General features: G+C 44.7%; 1 long non-coding RNA gene and 1 pseudogene across 1 annotated transcript in view; both read right to left on the bottom strand.

Moving 5' to 3' along the window:
- The window catches only part of LINC00265 (long intergenic non-protein coding RNA 265), a 61,056-nt gene that overhangs the window by 6,721 nt on the left and 34,500 nt on the right, over positions 1 to 19,835 (bottom strand). The window contains exons 3-8 of the long non-coding RNA NR_026999.1: positions 16,812 to 16,898; positions 8,518 to 8,632; positions 7,279 to 7,400; positions 6,552 to 6,668; positions 6,018 to 6,159; positions 5,104 to 5,168 (exon numbers count right to left, since the gene is read on the bottom strand). This is a non-coding gene — a long non-coding RNA (long intergenic non-protein coding RNA 265). The remainder of the gene's footprint in view (positions 1 to 5,103; positions 5,169 to 6,017; positions 6,160 to 6,551; positions 6,669 to 7,278; positions 7,401 to 8,517; positions 8,633 to 16,811; positions 16,899 to 19,835) is intronic.
- RNU6-719P (RNA, U6 small nuclear 719, pseudogene) lies at positions 19,459 to 19,562 on the bottom strand (annotated as a pseudogene).

The following is a 19,835-nucleotide window of genomic DNA, read 5'->3' as shown; positions in this document are numbered from 1 at the left end:
CTGGGATTACAGGTGTGAGCCACTGCGCCCACCCCGATTAATATATGTTTTAAAACACTGATTAGTCAGGCAACAACACCGAGCAGGGGTCTCCTCATTCCCAGCGACGCAAACCCCACTGCACGGCTGAGCGATTGCAAGGGCTGCAGAGCCAAAAGGCTCTGACTTGAGATTTCATTATTTTACTTGTATGTTTATTTGTATTTGAGACAGGTCCTGCTCTGTCACCCAGACTGGAGTGCAGCTGTGCACTTACAGCTCACTGCAGCCTCGACCACCTGGGCTCAAGCCATCTTCCTGCCTCAGCTCCCCAGTAGCTGGTAGTACAGCTGAGTGCCACCATGCCTGGTTATTTTTTTAATTTTTTTGTAGAGTGAGGGGTCTTGCTATGTTGCCCAAGCTGGCCTCAAACTCCTGACCTCAAGAGATCTGCCCACTTCAGCCTCCTGAGTAGCTGAAACTACAAGTACACATCACCATGCCTAGCTACATTTATTTAATTTTGAAAAATATTTTTGTAAAGAGCAGATCTTGCTGTGTTGTCCAGGCTGGTCTTGAACACTTGCCCTTAAAAGATACTCCCACCTCTGCTTACCAAACAGCTGGGACTACAGGCATGAGCCACTGCAATGAGCCTGAAGAGATTTCTTTAATCTAGCATCCCATACTTGGTAGGATTGGGAAAGGCAGTAGTGTTTTTTAAAATTACTTAATAATTTTAGTAACAATCAAACTCAACCTTGACCCCTGCCTTCTCTCACACCCCATATCCAGTCTGTCAGGAAATCCTGTTGACTGTCTTCGACATGTACTAAAGATCCCCACCCAGTAACTCCCTGGCCTCCTCCCCTACTTCTCCCCTCTGACCATCTCTCAACACCACCATGGCCCTGGTCAGGATCACCATCATCTCCCGCCTGGATGTTGCCAAAGCTTGGCCCCCATGCTTCTACCCACATCTTCCCACAGTCTTTCTCAACTCAGCAGCCAGAGAATGCTTTTAAATCGGGAGACAGATCATGTCGCCTCTCTGCTCAGAACCTTCCCGCAGTTCCCATCTGAGTCAGAGTAAAAGCCAAAGCCCCAGCAATAACCTCCCAGGGCTTATGTGATCTGTACTGATCCCCACCCAGCAACTCCCTGGCCCCCTCCCCTAATTCTCTCCCTCTCTCCGTCTGCTCCATGGGCCTCCTTCCAGAGCCTCAGACACACCTCAGACATTTTATTCTATTGTTTCTGCCTATGATCCTCTTCCCTCAGCACCTTGGCCAGCTCCTTCCCCTCCTTCAAGTCTTTACTCAATTTTCACTTAGGAGGCCACCCCTGACCATTCTATTTAACATTGCCATCTGTCCCCATGCCCACCATGCTCATTTCTTCTTTCTTTACTTTCTTCTTTCTTTTCTTCAAGATCTCACTGTCACGAAGGCTGGAGTGCAGTGGCGCAATCACAGCTCACTGCAACCTCAAATTTCCAGGCTCAAGTGATCCTCCCACCTCAGCCTCCCAAGTAGCTGGGACTCCAGATTCATGCCATCATGCCTGGCTAAATTTTTTGTATTTTATTTTATTTTATTTTATTTTATTTTATTTTATTTTGAGACAGAGTTTCACTCTTCTTGCCCAGGCTGTAGTGTAATGGTGCGATCCCGGCTCACTGCAACCTCCACCTCCCAGATTCAAGTGATTCTCCTGCCTCAGCCTTCCAAGTAGCTGGGATTACAGGTGCGTGCCACCACGCCCAGCTAATTTTTGTATTTTTAGTAGAGCCGGGGTTTTGCAATGTTGGCCAGGCTGGTCTCGAACTCCTGACCTCAGGTAATCTGCCCGCTTCGGCCTCCCAAAGTGCTGGAATTACAGGCGTGAGCCACCACGCCTGGCCAATTTTTTCATTTTTTGTAGAGACAAGGTCTTACTATATTGCCCAGACTGGTCTTGAACTCCTGGCCTCAAGTGATCCTCCTGCCTAAATTCCTAAAGTGCTGGGATTACCGGCATGAGCCATCATGCCTGGCTTCATGTTCATTTCTTCTTGCTGCTGCAACATAGTTTGCAGTTTCCTACATTTAGTGGCTTAAAACACCACAAATCTACCATCTTACAGTTCTAGGGGCCAGAAACCCAAACTAGGTCTATTAAGGCTAAAGTCAAGGTGTCAGCATGGCTGCATTCCTTCTGGAGACTCTAAAGTGTTCCCTTGGCTTTTCCAGCTTCTAGAAGCCACCCCCATTCCTTGGATCATGGCCCCTGACTCCATCTTCAAAGCCAGAAGTGAAGCATCTTCAAATCTCCCTCTCTTACCTCTGCTTTCATCACCACATCTCCTGCTCCAATTCTGAATCTCCTACCCTCTTTTTTTTTTATATAAAGACCCTTGTGATTGCTGGGCATGGTGGCTCCCACCCAGAATCCCAACACTTTGGGAGGTCAAGGCAGGAGGAACACTTGAGGCCCGAAGTTTGAAACTAGCATGAACAACATAGTGAGACCCCCACCTCTAGAAAAAAATAAAAATAAATATTAGCCCGACATGGTGGTATGCGCCTGTAGTCCCAGCTACTTGAGAGGCTGAGGTGAGACAATCGATTTAGCCCAGGAGTTTGAAATCAGCCTGGACAACATAACTAAATCTCATCTCTACAAGGACGAGGTGGGAGGATCACTTGAGCCCAGGAATTTGTGGCCAGCCTGGGCAACAAAAGAAGACCCCATCTGGCCAACATGGCCAACCTGGCCACCATGGTGAAACTCCGACTCTACAAAAATGAGCTGGGCATGGGTGACATGTATGTGTAGTCCTAGCTACTTGGGAGGTTGAGATGGGAGGATTGCTTGATCTCAGAAGGCCAAAGCTATAGTGAGCTATGATCACAAGACTGCACTCCAGTCTGGATGACACAGGGAGATTCTGTCTCAAAAAAAAGAAAAGAAATATATATTTAATCTCTGTCCCTGGTTCCTGGCACAGAGCTTCTAAAGCTTACAAAGACCTCAGTGATAGATGTGACAGGAACATCTTTTGTTTTAATATTTGGTCTTGGTCCCAGGTTTCTAACACAAGAGCCTCTAAGAACTTTGGGATCTCCAGCATGGTAAGAATGCATTTGGGGATGTTGTTGAGATGACTGGGTGACTGCAAGCTCCTAAATTTCTTCAAGAGGAGGGCTGATTACCATGCAACCACATGGTAAGAGGCTTGGAACTTTCAGCCTCATGCACTGAACTCCAGGAGGAAGAGGGGCTGGAGACTGACTTAATCACCAACAGCCAAAGATTTTATCAATCTTGCTTGCATAATAAAGCCTCCATAAACACCCTGAATGGGGTTTGCAGAACTTTCAGGGTTGCTGGACACAGGAGATGCTGGGAGGGTCGCATGTTCAACAGAGGGCATGGGAGCTCTGTGCCCCTCCGAACTTAACTTGCCCTGGGTATCTTTCTCTTTTTTGAGACAGGATCAGGCTCTTTTGTCCAAGCTAGAGTGCAGTGGCACAATCTCACCTTATGGTAACCTAAGCCTCCCCAGTCCCCAGCTCAAGACATCCTCTCATCTCAGCTTCCCTAGTAGTTGGAACTCTAGGTGCACAACACCACACTGGTTATTATTATTATTTTTTAATTTTTTATAGAGACAGGTTTTCACCATGTTGCCCAGGCTGGTCTCAAACTCCTGAGTTTAAGCAATCCTCCCACCTTGGCCTCCCAAAGTGCTGAGATTACAGGCATGAGCCACTGCATCCAGCATGCACGTCTCTTTCATTGACTGTTTCTGGGATGTATCCTTCACAATGAACCAGTAATAGGAAATGAACTGGCCAGATGTGGTGGCTGACATCTGTAATCCCAGCACTTTCAGAGGCTGAGGTGGGAGGATCACTTGAGACCAGGAATTTGTTGTGGCCAGCCTGGCCAACACAACAAGACCCCATCTATACAAAAAAAAAAAAAAAAAGAAACTAGCCAGATGTGGTGGTGCAGGCATGTAGCCTCAGCTACTAGGGAGGCTGAGGTGGGAGAACCACTGGAGCCCAGACAATCAAGGCTGCAATGAGCTATGACTGCACCATTGCACACCAGCCTGGGCAACCAAATAAGACCCTCTCTCTCAGAAAAAAAGAAAATAAACTGTTTTTCTGAGTTCCGTAAACTGTTCTAGCAAATTATTAAACCCAAGAAGACAGTTATGGGAACCCCCGATTTGTAAGAGGTTGGTCAAAAGTACAGGTGACAACTTAGGACTTGCCATTGGCATCTGAAGTGAGGATGGCCTCGTGGGACTGAGCCCCTAACTTGTGGGGTCTGTGCTAACTCCAGGTAGTGTCAGAATAAAGTCATGGGATACCCAGTTAATATCCAGAGCACTGAAGAATTTGGTGTAGAAACTCCATACATACATTCAGTCGGAAGTGTGTGAGTAGAGACAAACATGGGCTTTTCTGTCACTTGTCTACCTGCTTAACTGCATAGGAGAGGCAATACGTGGTGCTCATGAACAAAGCAAACATTAAAGTCAGACCAGACCCAACATTTGACTCAGTCTTAATATCCAGGTGAGCTTGGGCAAATCATTCATTATTCCTAAGGCTTCATCACTCCATTCATAAAATGGGGATAACTGTGGCACCTACCTGTGATTCTGTGAGAATTAATGAAATATTATGCTTGGGGTTATTGTGATCATTATACCTATTCCAAACTATTTGACAAGGACAGTGATGGATGATGACATCAAAAAATCAGAAACTGCAATGAGGTCTCTTGGGCAAAATTCCATACAAGCAACTTACTGTCTCTACAAAGCATTCCTGCCACACTTAATTCACCGTTCCGTGAACAAAATATGCCATCTTCGTTGTTCAGGTCTGTACAGTGCTGGTTTCCCTTCCCGGGCAGTTTGCTCCATCCCATCCCAGCCCATTCCCCATCCCTCCACCTCCCCCTTTCCTCCCCACTCTCATACAACTCTTCCTCATCTTTCAGGACTTGGCTTCAATGTCACCTTAACTGGAAGCTTCTCTCACTCTCCCGAAGAGCTTCCCATTGCACTTGATGCATGCACTATTATTTGATCATTTTTGAGTTACACTCCAAATCTTTTTGTACCTGAATAACATGTTGCCCAGTCAGTCTCTCTTCCTGGATTCAGAAGTCTTTCATGGTAGATCCAGCTGGAAGTGACAAAAAGGCATCTTTTGACATAAAGGGATGACACAGACAGACATAAGTTCTTAAACGTCTTAAATGTTATGTGAAAATTAAACAGAATTCAAAGACTTGTGGGGAACACTTAGGAGGGAAAGTTACTGGCAATGTCATAAAGGGTTCATTTGTATTTTATTTTATTTTTTGAGACAGTCTCATTCTGTCACCTAGGCTGGAGTGCAGTGGTGCAATCAGGCTCACTGCAGCCTTGACCACATGGGCTCAAGTAATCTCACTTAATTTTTATTTGGTTTAAGAAAGTCTTGGTTGAGGGTGGTGGTTTATGCCTGTAATCTCAGCACTTTGGGAGGCTGAGAGAGGTATATTACTTGAGGCCAGGAGTTTGAGATCAGCCTGGGCAATATATTAAGACCTTGCCTGTACCAAAAAACAGAGTGAATATGTGGAAGGCAATTTTTCCACAGACTGGGAGTGAGGGAATAATTTCAGGATGATTCAAGTGCAATACATATATTGAGCACTTTATTTCTATTATTACTACATAGTAATATATAATGAAATGATTCTACAACTCACTATAACGTAGACTCAGTGGGATCTCTGAGCTTGTTTTCCTGCAACTAGACTGTCCATCTGGGGTGATGGGAAACAGTAACAGAATATCAGGCATTAGATTCTCATAAGGAGTACACAACCTAGATCCCTCGCATGCACACTTCACAACAGAGTTTGTGCTCCTATGAGAATCTAATGCTGCTGCTGATCTGACAGGACATGGAGCTCAGGTGGTCATGCAAGCGACGGGAGGGGCTAGAAATACAGATGAAGTTTCCCTTCACTTGCCTGCTGCTCACCTCCAGCTCTGTGGCCCTGTGGTTGGAGACCGCTGCTCAAGTGCATTCGAAAGGATCCATCCCATGCCATTCTTCAGAATCATCTTTACTGCTGCAGTGGTCAACTTGTAGCACCCCTAAGCTCACAGGACATATGCTTCAACTGGCATTTCACAATGAACAGTATGTGGTAGCTTGAGTCATTGTGAGGTCACTTCCTGGAAATCACCAGCCTCCCATATCCCATTAGCAAGGAGCTCAGCACTGCTCCTTGGATAACCAAACCTATTCCCAAATCCCATCTGTGTGGGTCTATCTCCTGGTACCCTTCCTACCATCAATTCTGTATTTGTAGGAGTCCAATCAGGAGACACAAACCACTCAAAAGTTTAAACTAGAATGAGCAAGGTGGCTCACACCTGTAATCCCAGCACTTTGGGAGGCCAAGGCGGGTGAATTGCTTTGAGCTCAGGAGTTTGAGACCAGTCTGGGAAACATGGCGAAACCCCATCTCTACAAAAAACACAAAATTTAGCTTGGTGTGGTGGCACTTACCTGTAATCCCAGCTACTCGGGAGGCTAAGTCAGGAGAATTGCTTGAGCCTGGCAGGTAGAGGCTGCAGTGAGTAGAGGTTGTGCCACTGTACTGCAGCCTGAGTGAGAGCATGAGACCTGGTATCAAAAAGAAAAAAAATATATATATGTAAATTTAATATAGAAAGTATTAATTTTGGCCAGGCACCATGGCTCATGCCTGTAATCCCAGCACTTTGGGAGGCCAAGGCAGGCGGATCACCTGAGGTCAGGAGTTCAAGACCAGCCTGACCAACATGGAGAAACCCCATCTCTACTAAAAATACAAAATTAGCTAGGCATGGTGGCACATGCTACTCCCAGCTACTCGGAAGGCTGAGGCAGGAGAATCGCTTGAACCCGGCAGGTGGAGGTTGCGGTGAGCCAAGATAGTGCCATTGCACTCTAGCCTGGGCAATCCAGCCTGGGCAACAAGAGTGAAACTCCATCTCAAAAAAAAAGTATTAATTTTAGCAGAGGATCAGCATAATGAGGGACACACTAGCACAAAGTAAAGACAACTCTAGAGAATACAGAACTAGCAGAGGCCAGGCACTGTGGCTCATGCCTGTAATCCCAGCAATTTGGGAAGCCTAGGCAGGAGGATCACTTGAGGCCAGGAGTTGGAGACCTGTCAGCGCAACATAGTGAGACTATATGTCTACCAAAAAAAAGAAAAATATTAGCCAGGTGTGGTGGTGGTGCATACCTGTAATTCCAGCTACTTGGGAGTCTGGGGTGGGAGGATCCCTTGAGGCTGGGAAGTCTACACTACAGTGAGCCAAGATCATGCCACTGCACTCCAGCCTGGGCGACAGAGTGAGACCCTGTCTTAGAAAGAAAAAGAAAAGAAAGTGTTAATCCCCCTAAGGGAATCTCCTCTTCTCCTGCCCTCTCTGGAACCTCACTTGTCAGTTCTTCCTCCCACTTTCCTGTATCTTTAACCTATCTCCCACTTTTAGCGCCTTCCCACCATCATTTAAATTACTCAAACTTCTTCTGTTTTAAAAACCTCTCCCTCAACTCAGTGAGAGGTCTCCTGCACACCCATTGAGCCATCTGCTCTCCCTGGTTCCTTCTCTACAGAAGCCTGAGCCATGTCTCTAATCCATGAATCTCATCATGTTACTTCCCCATTTACATCACTTCTCCTTGCCTTGGGGATTAAGTCCAAACTCCTTAACAGCCCCCGCTCTGCCCTGCCTTGCAAGGCAGCCTCACTGCTTGCCCCTCTCCATTTCACCTGCTATGGAGTCCAACTCAGCCTCATCTGCCCCCTGAATGCACACTCTTTCTCCTCTGGGAGTCTCTGAAGTGGGTGATATCCTCTGCTTATAATATGCTTCCCCTTAAACCTCTACTCTCTTCCTGGCTAGCTTCGGCTCCTCTGTCACTTGTCCGCTTTGGCATCACCTCCTCATGGAAGACTTCCTTGACTCCCCAGATTCTCAGGAGCATGGCAGGTGAGGTGCTCCTCCCATGAATGGATGGAGATTAGGGAGTGTGTGTTATTCATGCTTAATTCACCAGTGGTTAGCTCAGTACCTGGCACAAGTTACTGTGGTGGCCAAAGTAATAACCCCCCACCCTGCCAACTAATTGCTCATGTCCTATGTTACACAGCACAATTACATAGGAAGGGGGAATTAAGAGTGCAGATAAAATTAATGTTGCTCATCATCAGCTGACCTTAAAACAAGATTATCCTGGAGTATCTAGGAGAGCCCATGTAATTACAAGCATTCTTTAAAAGTGGAAGAGGGAGGCAGAAGGTTAAGAACCAGAGACAGTGGGCACAATGGCTCATGCCTGTAATACCAATACTTTGGGAGGCCAAGGCAGGAAAATCCCTTGAGTGCAGGAGTTCAAGGTCAGCCATGGCAACATAGTGCGGCCCCATCTCTACAAAAAAATAAAAACAAAATTCACTGAGTGTCATGGTGCTTACCAGCTACTGGGAAGACTGACGTGGTAGGATTGCTTGAGCCTGGGAGTTTGAGGCTACAATGAGCCATGATTGGACCACTGAACTCCATCCTGAGTGACAGGGCAAGGTCCTGTTTCTAAAGAAAAAAAGGACATTGGAATCAGGGTCCCCTCCATCCTAAGGTGGCTACAAGGCATCTCTCTCTGCAAATGAGTAAACATCATCCTCCAACTCCTCACAGAGTGAAGCAGCAGGAAAACTCCCTTACCTCATTTCTGTGCTGCTTGGGAGGCCTGGACACCCAATAACCAGCACCTTGCTGATGAAGCAATTAGGAAATAGCTCAAGTTGAGCTAAGGAGAATTTGGATCCTTCTTTTGGTTCTCAATAGGCAGGGTAGAGGCCAGGCATGGTGGCTCATACCTGTAATCCTTGCACTGTGGGGGGCCAAGGTGAGAGGACTGCTTGAGGCCAGGAGCTCAAGACCAGCCTGGGCAACATAGAAAGACCTGGGTGGCATACACCTGTGGTCCCTACTACTTGGTAGGATGAGGTGGGAGGATTCATCACTTGATCCCAGGAGTTTCAGGCTGCAGTAAGCCATGATCACACCACTGCACTTCAGCCTGGGTGACAGAGCCAGACCATGTCTCAAAAAGTAAAAAAAAAAAAAAAAAAAAAAAAAACAGAGAGAGAGAGGGAGAGAGACTATAGGCAGGTACCCCCACATTTGGCTAATTTTTAAATATTCTGTAGAGACCAGGTCTTGCTAGGTTGCCCAGGCTGGTCTAAAACTCCTGGCATCAGGCTGGGCATGGTGGCTCATGCTTGCTATCCCAGCACTTTGGGAGGCTGAGGCAGGCAAATCACCTGAAGTCAGGAGTTCGAGACCAGTGTGGCCAACATGGTGAAACTCTGACTCTACTAAAAATATAAAAATAAGCCGGGCAGTAGTGGCATGTACCTGTAGTCTCAGCTACTCAGGAGGCTGAGGCAGAGGTTGCAGTGGGCCAAGATCGCACCACTGCACTCCACCCTGGGCAACAGAGTGAGACTCTATCTTAAAAAAAAAAAACCAAAAACCAAAAAACAAAAAACAAAAAAAAACTCCTGGCATCAAGACATCTTCCTGTCTTAGCTTCCCAATGCCCTGGGATTATATTGTTTCCTATAATTGAAGAAACTCGTTCTTATACTGCTTTAAGGTATAAAGAAAAAAAAACCATAATGACAAATGTTGGTGAAGGCCGGGCATGGTGGCTCAGCCTGTAATTCCAGAACTTTGGGAGGCTGAGGTGGGCAGATCACTTGAGGCCAGGAGTATGAGACCAGCTTGGGCAACATGGTAAAATCCCATCTATAAAAATTAGCCAAGCATGGTGGCATACACCTGTAATTTTCAGCTACTCAGGAGGCTAAGATGAGAGAATCACTTTTGCCTGGGAGGTCAAGGCTGCAATGAACTGTGATGGCATCATTGCGCTGCAGCCTGAGAGACAGAGCAAGCCCCTATCTAGAAAAAAAAAAAAAATGTCAGTGAAGATGTGGAGGAGTTGGAACCCACATACATCACTGGTGGGAACATGAAATCGTGTAACCTCTTTGTTTGGGTAGTTCTGTTCTTGTCATTTTAATTGGATTTTTTTTTTTTTAATCAAGACAGGGTTTCACTATCTTGCCCAGGCTGGACTTGAATTCATGGGCTCAATTCCTCCCAACTGAGCCTCCTGAGTAGCTGGGATTATAGGTGTGAGCCATTGCACCCAACTGGTGTAGCCACTTTAGAAAACAGTGTGGCAGTTTCTCAAAAGGCTAAATGTACAGTCATCATACAATGCAACAATTTCACTCCTAGGCATATATCCCAGAGAAATAAAAATATATATCCACACAAAAACTTGTACAACAGTCTTCATAGCAGCATTATTCATAATGGCCAATACATGGAAACAACCCAAATGTCCACCAACTGATGAACAGATAAACAAAACGCAGTGTGTCTCTACCATGGAATATTGCCATAGAAGGAATGAAATATTGATAGACACTATGACATAAAGGAACTTTGAAAACACTGTGCTAAGAGGGAAAAAAAGCCACAAAAGATCACATATTGTGCAATTCTATTTGTCCAGATTAGGCAAATCTATAGTGACAAAAAATAAATCAATGGCTGCCTAAGGCTGGGGGCCAAGGCATGTTGGGGGAGTAGGAGGTAGTGGCTAAGGGGTATGGATATGGATTTCTCTACAGGGTAATGAAAGGTTCTAAAAGTGACTGTGGTGATCGATGCACAGCTCTGTGAATAATCTAAAACCTACTGAATTGCAGATTTCAATAAATAAAGTGAATGGTATGTGAATCATATTTTAATAAAGCTATTATTTAAAATAATAATAATAGGGGGCTGGGCACAGGTGGTCATGTCTGCCTGTAATCCCAGCACTTTGGGAGGCTGAGGCAGGAGGATCACTTGAAGTCAGGAGTTTTGAGCCCAGTCTGAGCAACCTGGCAAGATCCTGTCTCTGTGATAAAAAATGAAAAAATTAGCTGGACATGGTGGCACATGTCTGTAGTCCCAGCTACTTGGGAGACTGAAGTGGGAGAACTGCTTGAGCCCAGGATTTTCAGGCTACAGTGAACCATGATCATGTCACTGTACTGCAGCCTGAGCAACAGAGCAAGACCCTGTCTCTGAAAAGGAAAGAAAACAAATGCAAGTTTTTATTACTTTGTGAGTATAGCCAAGTTGGAGGAGAAATAGACAATAAAAAAAGAGCACTGAATAACGAGGGTGAGTGGCTGATTAGGCTCAGTTGCTAGCTAAGTGGCTTCTAAAAAATTCATTAGTAAAGTTATAGCTCTGGGGACAGTCATGTAGTCAAAGAATGAATGCTAAATTCCTTACAAAGGTCCGTGGTCTTTCTTTACACGCCTTCTAGTGAAAAATTCCTAAGTGCCTAAATAGCAAGTCTGCAACGATAGCAGCTGTTTATTAAAGACTACAAAAAAGAAATGGAGGCCCGGAGTGGTAGCTCATGTCTGTAATCCCTGCATTTTGGGAGGCTGAGGCAGGCAGATCACTTGAGTTCAGGAGTTCGAGATGAGCCTGGCCAACATGGTGAAACCCCATCTCTACTAAAAATACAAAAATCATCTGGGTGGCGGGCACCTGTAATCCCAGCTACTCGGGAGGCTGAGGCAGGAGAATTGCTTGAACCCAGAAGGCAAGGGTTGCAGTGAGCCAAAATCGCACCACTGCACTCCAGCCTGGGCGACAAGAGCAAGACTCTATCTTAAAAAAAAAAAAAAAAAAATGGCATCTTCTTAAAGAATGACATAGTGTTTCATGATAAAGAAGCTCTAATTTTGCATTTGTTCAAGTATTGATTAGATTTAGCCAATATGACACCAATCTTGGATAAAGTGCAAACAACACAATTTCATTTTCTCATTAAAAACTGATTAGGTAGTCTAATATCAATTCTGACCTTATTAAAAACTGATCAGATTCAAAAAATTATGGAATGATGGAGCCAATAAGATGTTACAACCTGTTCCAAGGGGAATTCCAAAACCCACACATATTTGAGACCATCAAATATGATGAAATATATTTGATTACTATATTGAAAAATAAACTGATTATATAGCCAATAACAATTGGCAGGGGTTTCCTCATCCACAGCCACACAAACCAGATCACACAGCTATGTGGTTGCAAGGCCTACATAGCCTAGAAGGGACTGGTCTGACTTGAGATTTCATTTCATTTGTATTTGTATTTTGAGACAGGGTCCCACTCTGTCACCCAGGATGGAGTGCAGTGGTATAATCATAGCTCACTGCAGCCTTGACCAACTGGGCTCAAGAGATGCTCCTGCCTCAGCTGCCCCAATACCTGGGAATACAGGCAAGTACCACCATGTCAGGCTTTTTTTTTTCTTTCAATTTTTGTAGAGAGAGAAATCTTGATATGTTGCCCAAGCTGGCCTCAAACTCCTAGAATCAAGAGATCTGCCCATCTCAGCCTCCTGAGTAAGTGGGGCCACAGGTACACACCATCATGCTTGGCTATATTTATTTTATTATATTTATTTCTTTTATTTTTGTAGAGCGGTCTTGCTATGTTGCCCAGGCTGCTCTCAAACTCATGGCCTTAAAACATACTCCCATCTCTGCCTCTCAAACTGTTGGAACTATAGGTGTGAGCCACTGCACCTGGCCTGACTTGAGATTTCTTTTATCTAGCATCCTTTACTTGGTAGGATTGGGAAAGGCAGTAGTGTTTTTTAAAATTACTTAATAATTCAATTAGAATCAAACTCAACCTTGACCCCTGCCTTCTCTCACAGCTTTGGGTAATGTCAGGAAATCCTACTGACTGACTTCAACATGTATCCAGGCTCTGACCATCTCTCACCACCACCGTGCACCCGGTCAGGATCACTATCCTCTCCCACCGGGATGTTGCCACAGCTTGGCCCCCATGCTTCTACCCAAATCTTCCCATAGTCTTCTCAACTTGGCAGCCAGGGCGTGCTTTTAAATCAGGAGACAGATCACGTCGCCTCTCGGCTCAGAAGCCCTCGGTGGTTCCCATTTTAGTCAGAGTAAAAGCCAAAGCCCCAGCAACAGTGTCCCAGGGCTTACACGGTCTGTACCGATCCCAGCCCAGCAACTCCCTGGCCTCCTTGCCGACTTCGCTCCCTCTATCTCTTTGCTCCACTGGCCTTCCAGAGCCTCAGACACACCAGGGAATTTCCTCCTAATGCCTTTATCCTGTTGACTCAGCCTACAATGCTTTTCCCTCAGCACTTTGGCCAGCTCCATCACCTGCTTCAAACTTTTGCTCAATATTCACTTATGAGGCCAACCCTGACCACGCTACTTAACATTGCCATCTGTCCCCATTCCCACCATGCTCATTTCTTTCTTTCTTTTTGAAACAAGGTCTTGCTCTATTGCCCAGGCTGCAGTACAGTGGTGCAATCATAGCTCACAGCAACTTCAACCTCCTAGGCTTAAACAATTCTCCCACCTCAGCTTCCCTAGGAACTGAGACTACAGCTGCATGCCACAACACCTGGCTAATTTTTTTTTTTTTTTTTTGAGACATAGTCTCGGTCGCCCAGGCTGAAGTGCAACAGCACGATCTCAGCTCACTGCAATGTCTGCCTTTCAGGTTCAAGTGATTCTCTGCCTCACCCTCCCGAGTAGCTGGGATTACACCTACCACCACACCTGGATAATTTTTGTATTTTTAGTAGAGATGGGGTTTCACCATCTTGGCCATGCTGGTCTTGAACTTCTGACCTCGTGATCCACCCGCCTCCACCTCCCAAAGTGCTGGGATTACAAATGTGAGCCACTGCGCCTGGCCTTTTTAAAAAAATTCTTTTAGACATGAGGTCTCATTATGTTGCCCAGGCTGGTCTTAAGCTCCTGGGCTCAAGCAATCCTCCTACCTCAGCCTCCTAAAGTCCTGGGATTACAGGCATGAGCAACTGTAACATGAAGCCCTGGCTTCATGTTCATTTTTTACTTGCTGCTACAACAAACTACCCTACATTTAGTGGCTTGAAACATCATAAATCTACCACCTTACAGTTCTACGGACCAGAAGCCCAACTAGGTCTATTAAGGCTAAAGTCAAGGTGTCAGAGGGGCTGCATTCCTTCTGGAGACTCTAGAGAGAATGAGCTCCTTTGCCTTTTCCAGCTTCTAGAAGCCACCCCCATTCCTTGACTCACCTTGAAGATGGCCTCTGACTCCATATTCAAGGCCAGAAGTGCAGCATCTTCAAATCTCCCTCTCTGACCTCTTCTTCCTTCACCACATCTCCTTCTCTAATTCTGACTCTCTTACCTCCTTGTTTCTCTTATAAAGATCCTTGTGATTGGTGGGCATGGGGGCTCCCATCTGTAATCCCAACACTTTGGGAGGCCAAAGAGGAAGGATTGCTTGAGGCCAAGAGTTAGAGATCAGCCTGGGGAACATAGGAAGACCCTGCCTTTACAAAATTAAAATTAAAATCAGCTGGACATGGTGATGCAAGCCTGTAGTTCCAGCTACTGGAGAGGCTAAGGTGGGAGGATCACTTTAGCCTAGGAGGTCAAGGCTGCAGTGAGCTATGATCACATCACGGCACTCCAGCCTTGGTGGCAGAGAGAGACTCTGTCTCAAATATAAGAAAAGAAATATACATTTGGTCTCTGCCCCTGGTTCCTGGCATAGAGCTTCTAAAGCTCTTATAAAGTCCTTAGTGACAAAGGTAATATGAGCACTTTCTGTTTTAATATTTAGTCTTAGTCCCAGGTTCCTGACACAAGGGCCTCTAAGGTCTTTCAGATCTGTAGCATGGTAAGAATGCAAGTGGGATGCTGTTGAGCTGACAGGGTGGCTGCAAGCTCCTAGACTGCTTCAGGAGGAGGGCTGGCTGCCAGAGGAACCAACCACATTTTTTTTAAATGGAGTTTGGCTCTTGTAGCCCAAGCTGGAGTGCAACGGCACAGTCTCAGCTCACTGCAACCTCCGCCTCCCACGTTCAAGCAATTCTCCTGCCTCCACCTCCTAAGTAGCTGGAATTATAGGGATGCACCACAATGCCCAGCTAATTTTTGTTATTTTTAGTAGAGACGGGGTTTCACCATGTTGGTCAGGCTGGTCTCAAACTCCTGACCTCAAGTGATCCACATGCCTCGGACTCCCAAAGTGCTAGGATTACAGGCATGAGCCACTGCGCCCAGCTCCAACCACATTTTTTGAGGCTTGGAACTTTCAGCCTCACCTGCTGAACTCCAGGAGGCAAAAGGGACTGGAGATTGACTTAACTACCAATGGCCAATCAATCAGGCCTCCATAAAAACCCAAATAACAGGGTTTGGAGAACCTTGTGTTGCTGAACACAAGGAGGTGCTGGGAGGGTAGCATGCCCAACAGAGGGCATGGAAGCTCTGTGCCCCTCCCCACTTACCTTGTCCTGTGCATCTCTTTCATCGGCTGTTCCTGAGATGGAGCCTTTACATTGAGCAAGTAATAGAAAATAAGCTGGCCAGATATGGTGGCTCATGCCTGTAAACCCAGCACTTTGGGAGGCAGAGGTGGGCGGAATCACTTGAGCCTAGGAATTTGAGACCAGCCTGGGCAACATAAGACCCCATCTATACAAAAATTAAAAGAAATTAGCCAGATGTGGTGGTGGGAACCCTGTAATTCCAGCTACTTGAGAGGCTGAAGCAGGAGAATCACTTGAGCCCTGGAGGCTGAGGCTTCAATGAGCTATGACTGCACCACTGCACACCAGCCTGGACAACAGAGTGAGGCCCTGTCTCTTAAAAGAAAAGAAAAAAACCTGTTTTTCTAAGTTCTGTGAGTTGTTCTAGTAAATAATTAAACTCAAGAAGAGGGTCATGGGAAACCCTGATTTCTAACTGGTTGGTCAAAATACAAGTGACAACCTAGGACTTGCAATTGGCATCTGAAGTGAGGGTGGTCTTGTGGGACTGAGCCCCTAATCTGTGGGGTCTGCACTAACTCCAGGTAGTGTCAGAATGGAATTGTGGGATACGCAGTTGGTATCCAAACAGTTGGAGAATTGGTGTAGAAACTCCACACACATACTTGGTCAGTAGTGTGTGAGTAGAGAGAAACATGAGTTCTTCTCTCACCTGTCTACCTGCTTAACTGCATAGGAGAGGCAATGCATGGTGCTCATGAACAAGGCAAGCATTAAAGTCAGACCAGACCTAACATGTGACTCAGTCTTAATACCCAGGTGAGGTTGGGCAAATTGCTCATTAACCCCAAGTCTTCATCATTTTGCGCGTATAATGGGGATAACTGTGGCACCCACCTGTTTTTGTGAGATCAATGAAATATTATGTTTGATGTTATTGTGATTATCATACTATTTGACAAGGGCAGTGATGCATGATAACATCAAAAAATTAGAAACTGTAATGAGGTCTCTTGGGCAAAATTCCATACAAGCAAATGACCATCTCTCCAAAGCATTCCTGCCACACTTAATTCACCATTCCCTGAACAAAATGTGCCATCTTCATTGTTCGGGTCTGTACAGTGCTGGTTTCCCTGCCTGGGTAGCTCACTCCATCCCATCCCAGCCCATTGCCCATCCCTCCACCTCCCCTTTCCCTCCCCACTCTCATACAACTCTTCCTCATCTTTCAGGACCTGGTTTCAATGTCACTTTAACTGGAAGCTTCTCTCACTCTCCAGAAGAGCTTCCACTGCATTTGATGCATGCAGTATTATTTGATCATTTTTGAGTTATAGTCCAAGTCTTTTTGTACCTGAATAACATGTTGCCCAGTCAATCTCTCTTCCTGGATTCAGAAATCTTTCATGGTAGATCCAGCCGGAAGTGACAAAAAGACATTCTTTAAAAGAAAAAAAAAAAGAGGGATGACACAGACAGACATCAGTACTTGAAAGTTTTAAATGGTATGTGAAAAACAAACAAAATTCAAGGGCTTCTAGGAGAAATGTAGGAGGGAAGGCGTTACTGGGAAATATGATGGAAGGTTAATTTTTATTTTATTTTATTTTTAGAGAAAGGGTCTTGCTCTATCGCCTAGGCTGGACTGCAGTGGTGCAATCACAGTTAACTGCAGCCTCAACCTCCAGGGCTTGAGCAATATTCCCATCTAATGTTTATTTTATTTAAGAAACACAGTCTTGCTCTTACCAGAGCTAAAGTGCAGTAGTATGATCATAGCTTACTGCAGCCTCAACCTTCTAGGCTCAAGTGATCCTTCAGTCTTAGCCTCCCCAGTAGCTGGGACAACAGGTGTGTACTGCAATGTGTAGCTCATTTTATTTTTTAATTTTTAGTAGAGACAAAGTGTCGCTATGTTGACCAGGCTGGTGGTGATCTCCTACACTCAGGCAGTTCTCCCACCTCAGCCTTCCAAAGTGCTGGGATTACAGGTGTGAGTGCCACACCTGGCTGAGGGGGTTAATTTTTAATTATAAAGAGCTCAAAGCAAATATTAGAAGGAGCCTAAATGCCTACAGCAGCTGACTGGTAAATTGTGATACATCCATATAATAAAATATTATGTAACCATGAAAAGGATTAAGATAGATCAACAGGTATTGGCACAAATGTCCACAAAATATGAAAATGTGAACTGATGTTCAATCACCGTGTATGTATCTTGAAGGATATGGCCCGTTTTCTCAATAGCAATTATTTCCTGAGATAAGATTATGGGTCTAAAGAGTGAAGGAAATTCTTCACTTCTTTATTTAAAAGTATTTACTATTTTTATAATTTAATAAAAGATTAAACAGATCATTGAATTAGTAAAAGACAAATTAACTCTATAAATAAATGGAAAAGACACGGACAGCCCAGGCATGGTGGCTCACGCTTATAATACCAGTACTTTGGGATGGGGCGTTGGGGGGATCGCTTGAGGCCAGGAGTTCCAGACCACCCTAAGAAACAAAGCAAGACCTCATCTCTACTAAAAATTAAAAAAATATTGGCCAGGCATAGTGGCATGTGCCTATAGTCCCAACTACTGAGGTGGAAGGATCACCTGAGTCCAGGAGGTCAAGGCTGCAGTGAGTTGAGACTGTGCCACTACACTCAAGCCTGGGAGAGAGAGCAAGACTTCATCTCAAAAAAAAAAAAAAGGACAATAAAGAAATAAAGCTAATAAGCTAACATAAGAAAAGATAAAACATGTGACAAATAGGCCGGGCGTGTGGCTCACGCCTGTAATCCAGCACTTTGGGAGGCTGAGGTGGGTAGATCACGAGGTCAGGAGTTCGAGACCAGCCTGATCAACATGGTGAAACCCTGTCTGTACTAAAAATACAAAAATTAGCATGCTGTTATAAAGACACATGCACATGTATGTTTACTGTGGCACTATTCACAATAGCAAAGACTTGGAACCAACCCAAATGTCCAACAATGATAGACTGGATTAAGAAAATGTGGCATATATACACCATGGAATACTATGCAGCCATAAAAAATGATGAGTTCATGTCCTTTGTAGGGACATGGATGAAGCTGGAAACCATCATTCTCAACAAACTATTGCAAGGACAAAAAACCAAACACCGCATGTTCTCACTCATAGGTGGGAATTGAACAATGAGAACACATGGACACAGGAAGGACAACATCACACACTGGGGACTGTTGTGAGGTGGGGAAGGGGGAGGGATAGCATTAGGAGATATACCTAATGCTAAATGACAAGTTAATGGGTGCAGCACACCAACATGGCACACGTATACATATGTAACAAACCTCATGTTGTGCACATGTACCCTAAAACTTAAAGTATAATAATAATAATAATAATAATAATTAGCTGGGCGTGGTGGTGTGCGCCTGTAATCCCAGCTACTCAGAAGGCTGAGGCAGGAGAATCACTTGAACCTGGGAGGCAGAGGTTGCAGTAAGCCAAAATCACACCACTGCACTCCAGCCTGGGTGACAGAGCGAGACTATGTCACAAAAAGAAAAAAAAAAAATGACAAAGTAATATGAGGTCTTTTATTTATCACACAGAAAATAACTTGTTAAATTATAATACCTGTGCCAGCGAAGGTGCAGTGAAATGGCCATTTTCTTGTAGTATTAGTGGTGTTTAAATTGTATACAAGCCTTCCAGGATAAAGCTTGGAAATTTTTTTAAAATAATACAGACAGTGACTGATTATACTGCCTCCTCCACCTCCTGGCCTCAAGAAATCCTCCCACCTCAGCTCCCAAAGTGCTAGAATTACAGGCTGACAGCCACCGTGCCTGAAAGCTCGGCAATTTACATCAAGAGTAGTAAGAATGCTCATACCCTGCGACTCACAGTAATCTCACTTCTGAAAATATCATCTTTGAATATAATTCAACCTAAACAAAAGGTCATATGCACAAATACAGTGAAAATCTGGGAGTAATTTTTTTCTCTTTTTTAAAAAAATATGGAATGCTTCACAAATTTGCATGTCATTCTTTCAGAGAGGCCATGCCAATCTCTCTATTGTTCCAACTTAAGTATGTGTGTTACTGGAGCAAGCATGAGTAATTTAAGATAGAGTGGTTAAGTGAAATAAGGAAGAGTTACAGGGAATTTAAAAATCTATGGTATTTATACGCACCTAGTAACAGCTCAGTAAATATTAGCTGCTACTATTGTTATTTTTATGGTAATTTCACTCAATTAAAAATTGTTATTAAAAACTACCATTGTCATGGAATGTAATGTATCCTACAGTATAATTGTAAAAATATATACAATTTGTCCCTTGGTATATGGCGGGATTAATTCCAGCTCCCCCATTTCTGTGTATAC

The sequence above is a fragment of the Homo sapiens genome, chromosome 7 (genome assembly GCF_000001405.40).
Source record: "Homo sapiens chromosome 7, GRCh38.p14 Primary Assembly".
In the NCBI taxonomy this organism is placed as follows: domain Eukaryota; kingdom Metazoa; phylum Chordata; class Mammalia; order Primates; family Hominidae; genus Homo; species Homo sapiens.
Note: the sequence above shows the minus strand (reverse complement) of the source record. Positions and strands in the feature narration are given on the sequence as shown.